This window comes from Homo sapiens, chromosome 11 (assembly GCF_000001405.40).
Source record: "Homo sapiens chromosome 11, GRCh38.p14 Primary Assembly".
Taxonomy (NCBI): domain Eukaryota; kingdom Metazoa; phylum Chordata; class Mammalia; order Primates; family Hominidae; genus Homo; species Homo sapiens.
In genome coordinates this window covers 93065791-93074996 of record NC_000011.10, presented here as the reverse complement: position 1 = coordinate 93074996, position 9206 = coordinate 93065791, and the positions used below count along the sequence as shown (strand labels likewise).

The 9206-nt window shown below is 38.9% G+C and overlaps 1 annotated feature.

Moving 5' to 3' along the window:
- Positions 600-1270: an enhancer, noted in NCBI's record as "NANOG hESC enhancer chr11:92806893-92807563 (GRCh37/hg19 assembly coordinates)". NCBI's record gives its function as "activates a minimal SCP1, AML or CMV promoter by ChIP-STARR-seq in naive H9 embryonic stem cells {active_cell/tissue: H9 hESC(naive)}" and the evidence as "EXISTENCE:reporter gene assay evidence [ECO:0000049][PMID:30033119]".

Here is a 9206-nt window from a genome sequence, read left to right as displayed (position 1 = left end):
ACCGACAAAACTTATTTCAACCTTTGAGTATGAATGGAACAATCTGAGGATGAGAAGAAAGGTCAAATATGAAGAGAACATAATCTCGCTGGACACATTATGGTTCACCCAAAGGACACAACTCTTTTTTTTTTTTTTTTTTTTTTTGAGACAGAGTCTCACTCTGTCACCCAGGCTGGAGTGCAATGGCATGATCTTGGCTCACTGCAACCTCCATCTCCTGGGTTCAAGCGATTCTCCTGCCTCAGCCTCCCGAGTAGCTGGGACTACAGGCATGCGCCACCATGCCTGGCTCATTTTTTTTTTTTTTTTTGTATTTTTAGTAGAGGCGGGGTTTGAGCATGTTGGTCAGGCTGTTTTGAAACTCCTGACCTCAAATGATCCACCCACCTCGGCCTCCCAAAGTGCTGGGATTAGGCATGAGCCACCACGCCCGGCCAGGACACAACCCTTTATATGCACAATCGCAGGCTGAATAAGGCTTATATGCTCTGAAATGCAATCTCCTGTCTCAAAACGTAGATATGATATTGGGGTATGAAGAACTGTACAGGGTACTAGATGTTACTGAACCAGACTTGGATCTACTCTTCCAGCGTGCAGAAAAAGGCAAACTCTGACACTGGGATTTGCGGTGAGAGAGAAAGCCATTTATTGCAGGACACCAAGCAAGGAGGACAGGCAGCTAATGCTTCAGACCTGAACTCCCTGATGGCTTACAAGCAAGGATTTTCAAAGGCAGCAGTGAGGGGTCTTCCGAAGTGAGTTAGGGGCTAAGGAATTTCTGAAACTTCCTTATCTATTTTCTGGTTCCAGTCTGTCTTAGGTCTGTGTGACAGCCATTGGCATTTTCCATCAGTTGGGGGTCCTCGTTTCTGAAAAACAACTCAAGGACATTTGTCAAAATGTTATCTTTAGTTTCTACAGGGAACCAAACGTCTTGTGACCCTGGCATACTTGAGTGGCTATTGTTTAAGTCATTGTTATCTTTAGCAGGTCATTCATTCAGTCGCCTACTTGCTGGTTGTGGGGCTGAGTGCCTGGAATTTCTTTTGAAGAACTCAAAATCTTTTATTTCTACACTGAAGGGATGGGGGAGCCCAGCAGGCCCCTAAGAGGGGATCCCTGCTCTGTCTCAGAGAGAAAGGAAGAGGAAGCCTGACTCAGTCTGAGGAGTATATGGACTCTTTCTTTGAGGAAATGAATAGCTGCTGAGTAGTAAAGTGGGTGAAGGAGGGTGGAGAATATTATGGGTAAAGGGCAAAGCACATGCAAAGGTCCTGAGGTGAGAGGGAGAGAAAAAAAATAAGTTGGAGAAATTTAAAATGTCTGATTTGCCTGGAATCAAATGAGGAAGATTTAGAGTGACTAATCTAAAAAAGCAGGTAATGATCTCAGTATCAACTAGGGCATCTTTGGCTGCAAGTAAGAAAAGAGCCTCAGTCACCTTAGCAGAAGTTCAGAGGTAGCAGCAGGCAGAGGCAGGAATAAACTTCTGTTCTGGTATCTCCTGCTTAGGAATGACAAGCATTTGCCAGAAACACCTCTGCAACATGTATGTGCGTGTGCGCGCGCACACACACACACACACACACATGTGCATGCACAGTGTAACCTCCTGACAGGTTCCTCCTGACTGCTGCACAAACAAAATCAATTAACAGAGACCATGGCATTTCAGTTGATGTGAGGCCAGCCATGCTAAGTGGGAGACGGAGTTATCACTCAAATCAATCTCCTTGAAGGCTCAGAGATTAGGAGTTTTTCGAAGATAGTTTGGTGGGCAGGGACTGGGGTATGGGGAGTGCTGATTGGTTGGATCTGAGTTGAGTCATTTCTGGGTGGGGCTACAAGAGTAATTGGCAGGTCCAGGTGGAGCCACTGGTTCTCAGACAGGTAAAACACCTGAAAAGATATCTCAAAAGGCCAATCTTAGGTTCTACAATTGTGATGTTCTCTGCAGGAGTAACTGGGGAGCTGCATATCTTGTGACCCCCTGGAAGAATGGCTGGCAGTCATAAGTTTACTTCTACCTAGCAGAATTCAGGATCCTCTATCCTCCTAGCCTGGTGCTCTCTTATTAGCTTTACAAAGGTGGCTGAATTTTGGGGAAAGGCTATTATCATTTAAACTGTAAACTAAATGTCTGCCAAAGTTAGTTTGGCCTAAGCCCAGAAATAATTAAAGGCAGCCTGAAGGCTAAAGGCAAGAGGTGGGGTTGGCTAGATAAGATCTCCCCCACTGACACAATTTTCTCACTGTTATAATTTTTGCAAAGAGAATGTCAACAGCAGATCTCTTTCCATGTGACTTAACAGAACTGTGTCACATGCTCACCCCTAGACCATTCCCAGCCAAGGGAACAGAAATCACTATAATTTACTCTGTGGGATCAGAAGAATATGCCACCCCCAAATCCCAAAATATGCCCCTTTGGTGTCAGGATTATTTTGAGCTGACTATTTTGAGACACAGCAGATACAGGAGAAGCTCCTTGAACAGAATAAATACACTGCCCTTTTGTAAGGGAAATGTACTTTATGAGGGGACTCTGCATTTGTAAGCGTGACTTTCTCTCTATGCCAGGAGAGAATGAAGACTCTAAACAAGAGACTCTTTAGCAAGGGAGGAGGCACTGAGTAAAATCTGCATAACAAACCCTTTCTCTCATTTACTGTACTTTTCCTGATCACCCTCATGACTTTGTTTTTAGCTGCAGATAGTATTTAAACCTGAATTCTAAGCCAACTCTCTGAGAGATACTCATTTCCCTGGGCATCTCCCATGTATATATGGGATATACATGTTAATACACTTCTCTTTGTTTTTCTCTTGTTAATCTGTCTTCTGTTAAAGAGGCTCCAGTTTAGAACTTAGAAGGGTAGAGGAAAAACTATTTTTTCTTCCCCCTATATCTGAATCAGGCCTTACCTCGGACCTATGGGTAGAGTCACCTTCCTAGAGGTCGGGTGGAGAACTGGTGGACCCTGAACAAAAGTGTGGCTCTGCTAGCAAGAAATAAAGGAGAAATGAATGTCTCCAAATCATCTGGCAGAATTTTCCATAGCTTGTAGGCTATAACAAAAACTTGATCTTTAAGACACAGCTGTTTGTGTGAGGTATATCTCTCTTTGGGAAAGAGTCCAATTAGTTGGCCATGAGGTTTAATTCTGTTTTAAAAACAGATGAGTCTGTTCTGACTTGGAGGAATTATGTTTCTGGACAATTCTGGCAAAATAAGGAAAAACCCTGATTCTGTGTTTCCCAAAATTTCTTTTAATAGGTGCCAACCCTACTACATAATAACTTATTAATTTTTTGAAAAAGTTTATAAATTTGAGGTTTAAATATATACCATAAAATGTATCAATCTTAAGTGTAGAGCTTATTGAATTTTTCCACATGTGAATGCTCATGTAACCACTACCCAGATCAAGATATAAAACATTTCTTCCCTTCTGAGGTTATAGAAAAAGAAATAAAGAAAAAAAAGATATAAAGCATTTCTATGCAGCCTCCTTGTGCATGTTAAAAAAACTAAAGAAAAACATTTCTAGCACATTCCCCTGTTAACGCCCACCCTAAAATGGTAACTATTATTCTGGCTTTTATAATCATTTATTAATTTTGCCTCTTCTTGAGCTTTATATAAACGGAATTGTATTTGTATATACTGTTTTGTGTTAGGTTTGTGTCACTCAACAAAATGTGTGTGAAATTCATCCAAGTTGTTGTGTATAGTAGTCCTTTCTTTTTCATCACTGTATGGTATTCCATTAGATGAATATATGTAAGTATATATGTGAATACTTATATATACATGAAAAAGTGTGCATATACATGTGTGTATACACACACACACACAATTTCTCTTTCCTGAAAATAAACATTTATATTGTTTTAAGTTTGGGAAAATTATGAATAAAGCTGCTGTTAACATCCTTGTGTATGTCTTTTTTGTTGCTGGAAAAAGAGCATCCCGATCCAGACCCCAAAAACGGTTCTTGGATCTTGCACAGAAAATAATTTGAGAGGAGTCACAGAGCACAGTGAAAGCAGCAAGTTTATTGAAAACTACTCCATTACAGAGTAGGGCATTTTCAGAAAGCAGGAAGAAAAATGCTACATCCTTTGTTAGTATCTCTACTTTTAAAACGCTTTTAGGAGTTAATTAAACATGGAATGTGCAGATGTGCTCACTAAAGGTAGGGGCCATTGCTGCTATAATGACCATTAATCTTTAACCTAAGCCTGCTCATTGATTTTATTTTTAAGTAAAGTGGGCTGCACACTTAGGACATCTGGGCATCTGTAGGCTTGGTGGGAAATGTTCTTTATCGCCATAAATATTTTGTAATTATAATTGGTGGTCAGCTTAGAATGTGGCTGTTTTAAGATCATAAGCATTAACTTTATAGGTGTCTTGAGAGTGCCTAGCTATTTACTTCAAGATGGAGTCCCTCTCGTCATGTTTTATAAAACTAGAGGCTTGGCAAACAAAGGTTGCTTTAGCATTTTGATGAACATGTGTACTTATTTCTCTTGGTTATTAGGTATTAAAAATATGATAGAAATGTTTTTCAAATGGTTTATCTATTTACACTTGCTCCAGGAATGTATGAGGGTTCCAGTTGCGCTTATCTTCACTGACACTTGAAATTGTCAGTCTTTTTGGCTTTAGTTATTGAGGTGGACTTGTAGTTGGAAAACTATGGCAACTTGTTGTGGTTTTAATTTGCATTTTTCTGAAAAGTCATGAGGTGGAACCTCTTTTCATATGTTTATTGTCTATTTGGATATCTTCTTTTGTGAAGAGCTTGCCCATTGGTTATACTGAATTGTTTGTCTTTTCCTTATTGATTTGTAGGAGTTCTTTGTGTATTCTGGATATGATTCTTTTCTTAAATATAATTATTATAAATATTTTATCCAAGTAAATGGCTGCCTTTTCACTTTTTAAATGGTGTTGTTTAAGGAACAGAGTTCTTAATTTTAATGAAGTTTTATCGATAAAACTTCCCTTTTATGATTAGGATTCTCTGTGTATTATTTAAGAAAGCTTTGCCTACCCCAAGGGCATGATGATATTTTCTTCTAAAATTTGTATTGTTTTCCCTTTAGCATTTACGACTATGATTCATATGAAATTAATTTTGTGGACACTGTGAAGAACAGCCCAGGTTATTTTTTTAAAATATAGAAATATGCATTTGTTCCAGCATCATGTATTTAAAAGACCATCCTTTCTCCCTATAATTGCAGTAGTTTTATATAAATAAAGTGACTGTATAAGTATAGATCTGTTTCTGGGCTCTCGGTTCCATTCCATCGGTCTGTTTGTCTTTTCTTGCACCAACATGAACTTTTAATTATTATAGCTTTATAGTGAGGTTTTAGTTAAGTCCTTGAACTTTTTTTTTTAATCCAAAGTATTCTTGGCAGTTCTAGATCCCTGAATATAAATATTTTAAAATCAACTTTTTAATCTCCAATGAAAAACCTGCTTGAATTTTGATTGAGATTGTACTGAATATGTAGATTAATTTGTACATAATTGACATCACAAAAATATTGAATCTTCCAGACTGTGAACATACTATATCTTTCCACTGATTTAGGAGTTGAGATTTCTCTCAATATTGTTCAATAATTTTCAGCATAAAGGTATTACACATCTTTTGTCAGATTTATTCTTCAGTTTTTTTAATACTATCTTAACTGATTTTTTTTACTTCATTTACAAATTGTTGATTGCTAGTACACAGAAAAACAGTTTTTATATAATGTCCTTGTATTCAATGATTCAATGACCATGTTAAAATCACTCTTTTGTTGTAATAATTTGTCTGTAGAAGTGTATTTTGGATTTTTTTTTCTATAAACAGTGACTTTATCTGTGAATATTTCTTTTGGATCTTTATACCTTGTGTTTATTTCCCTTGCCTGATAGCAGTGGCCAGAACCCTCAGGTCAATGCTGAATAGATAAATTTTTTTCCCTAGTTCTCATTGTGAAGGTGCACTTTTGCATTCTGAGAGAGATGAATATTTAAGAGGAACACATGGTTTTCTAAGACAGAAATTGGAAGCTGTTGCAAGGTTGAAAAAGGCTCATGTTGGTTTGGGATTAATACTTCATGGAACTTCAGTGACGACTGGGTCAAGAATGAGAAGCAGCTCTGGAGCTTATTTTGAAAGCCTATGTCTCTTCTGAAAGAAAGTCTGATGTTTTTAGGCCTCACATGAGTTATCAAGTGTGACTCTGGATGCGTTGAGGAATGGTAAAAGACTGTTCAATAAAGAAATTGATCAAAAAGGGACTAAGACTTCTGCAGAATGTAAATGTAAGAGGAAACCCAGGAGATAATTTTATTAAAAAAAGTAAAAATCTCAGAGATAAAAAGCATCAGAAAAACAAAAAGTCACCAGTCAACATTACAAGATGCCCATAAAGGCACATATCATCACTATACAGATTTTTCTCAGAATGTTTCAAACACACACACACATCCCCCCCACAAATAGTGACAGTGACTTTTAAATACATTACAGCTCAAAGAACAAACCAAGTCAGAGGTGGAACTGTTTGAGATAACTCATATAACACACATATACATGCATTGAGAAAAGCAGGTGTGATGAAGAACAGCCTCCAGGAGTATCTGATCCTCCTTTCCTGCATTGTGTGTAACTAGTAATGATGATATCTGTAATAAGTATCTATTCTTCTCATCTTGTAAGATGAGGAAGGAAGGTCCTAATGGAGGGACTGCTGTAGCCCTGTTAAATTTCAATAACCCATCTCCTAACTGTGTTGAATCTCAATAACCTATCTCCTATGTTAAATTTCAATAACCTGTCTCCTAGCTATGTTAAATCTCAATAACCTATCTCCTAACTATGTTAAATTTCAATAACCCATCTCCTAACTATGTTAAATTTCAATAACCCATCTCCTAACTGTGTTAAATTTCAATAACCCATCTCCTAACTATGTTAAATTTCAATAACCCATCTCCTAACTAAATGTGAGTCTGTCCTGTCAGCCAGATCAACACTTCCCACCCTTAAGGGACATTTATGAGTTGTCACTTAATTACAGTGACCATATATGTCCAGGTCTGTGAAGGTACAGCTGGGGAGAGTGATGCAAATGCCAATTTCTTCTATCTTCAATCAATTAAGACTCTTGAAATCCTGAAATGTGATACAGCTGTTAAAACTTTAAGGCTTTAGAAAGTAAAATGAAACAGGTAAAATTAACTTTAATAATATGTTTCATTTTACCCAACCTATCCAAAACATTATCATTTTGACATGTAATTAACTTGAGGTATTTTTACATTCTTTTTTTCTCATAGTAAGATATCAAAGTCCAGTATTTTACACTTTACCACATCTCAATTCAAGCAAGCCTCATTCTAATTGCTCAATAGCCACATATAACCAGTAGCTACTGCCAGGACATAGAACCTACTATCCCAAAATATGGCACCTTGGCATGCTGAGGATTTTAAGCTGAAGGAAACTGAGAAAACCACAGAAGAGTAGGTCTCTTTGACCTTCCCCCCATCCTCTCCTGAGGCAGGCCTTAGAAACTGGATTTCCCTTGCCCCTTTTCCCACGAAGCAAGCCATATGTGACTTTTCCCTGAAAATAGGTCATAAATTCTCATTCTAGAGGGGTCCTCCTCATACCAGGAGGAAAGGAATGCCCTCATCTCTGAAGACACAGAGACACAGAAAACAATCGGAGACAAGCAGGCCTTGCTGAATTTTCCCCAGTTTATTGTCATTAGATCATATCTCTTTTTGTCCAATCACGTTTCTCTACAACTATCCTTTTCTTCATCACACTTAGCTTACAACGTATGCAGATTTCCCTGTTTCATTGCATCTACATTTCCTTATGAAGCCTCCCATATCATGTAAAATTTCTCAAATACATGTAATATGGTTTGGCTGTGTCCCCACTGAAATCTCACCTTGAATTGTATCTCCCAGAATTCCCACGTGTTGTGGGAGGGACCCAGGGGAAGGTAATTGAATCACGGGGGCTGGTCTTTTCCTGTGCTATTCTCATGATAGTGAATAAATCTCAGGAGATCTGATGGGTTTATTAGGGGTTTCTGCTTTTGCTTTTTCCTCATTTTTGCTCTCTTGCTGCTACCACGTAAGAAGTGCCTTTCACCTTCTGCCATGATTATGAGACCTCCCCAGCCATGTGGAAGTTAAGTCAAATTAAACCTCCTTTCTTCCCAGTCTCGGGTATGTCTTTATCGGCAGCATGAAAATTAACTAATACAGTAAATTGGTACCAGTAGAGTGGGGTGTTGCTGAAAAGATACCTGAAAATGTGGAAGCAACTTTGGAATTGGGTAACAGGCAGAGGTTGGAACAGTTTGGAGGGCTCAGAAGAAGACAGGAAAATGTGGGGTAGTTGGGAACCTCCTAGAGATTTGTTGAATGGCTTTGACCAAAATGCTGATAGTGATATGGACAATAAAATTCAGGCTGAGGCGGTCTCTGATGGTGATGAGGAACTTGTTGGGAAGTGGAGCAAAGGTCACTCTTATTATGTTTTAGCAAACAGACTGGCAGCATTTTGCCCCTGCCCTAGAGATTTATGGAACTTTAACTTGAGACAGATGATTTAGAATATCTGGAGAAAGAAATTTCTAAGCAGCAAAGTATTCAAGAGGTAACTTGGGTGCTGTTAAAGGCATTTGGTTTTATAAGGGAAGCAGAGCATAAAAGTTTGGAAAATTTGCAGCCTGACTATGTGATAGAAAACAAAAACCCATTTTCTGGGAGAAATTCAAGCCAGCTGCAGACATTTGCATAAGTAGCAAGGAGCCTAACGTTAATCCCCAAGACCATGGGGAAAATGTCTCCAGGCCATGTCAAAGAACTTCCCAGCAGCCCCTCGCATCACAGGTCTGGAGGCCCAGGAAGAAAACACGGTTTTGTGGGCTGGGCCCAGGGTCCCCATACTATGTGCAGCCTAGTGACTTGGTGCCCTGTGTCCCAGCCACTCCAGCTGTGGTTGAAAGGGGCCAACACAGAGCTCCGGCCATGGCTGCAGAGGGTGGAAGTCCCAAACTTGTCAGCTTCCATTTGGTCTTGAGCCTGCGGGTGCACAGAAGTCAAGAACTGAGGTTTGGGAACATACACTTAGATTTCAGAAGATATATGGAAATGCCTGGAT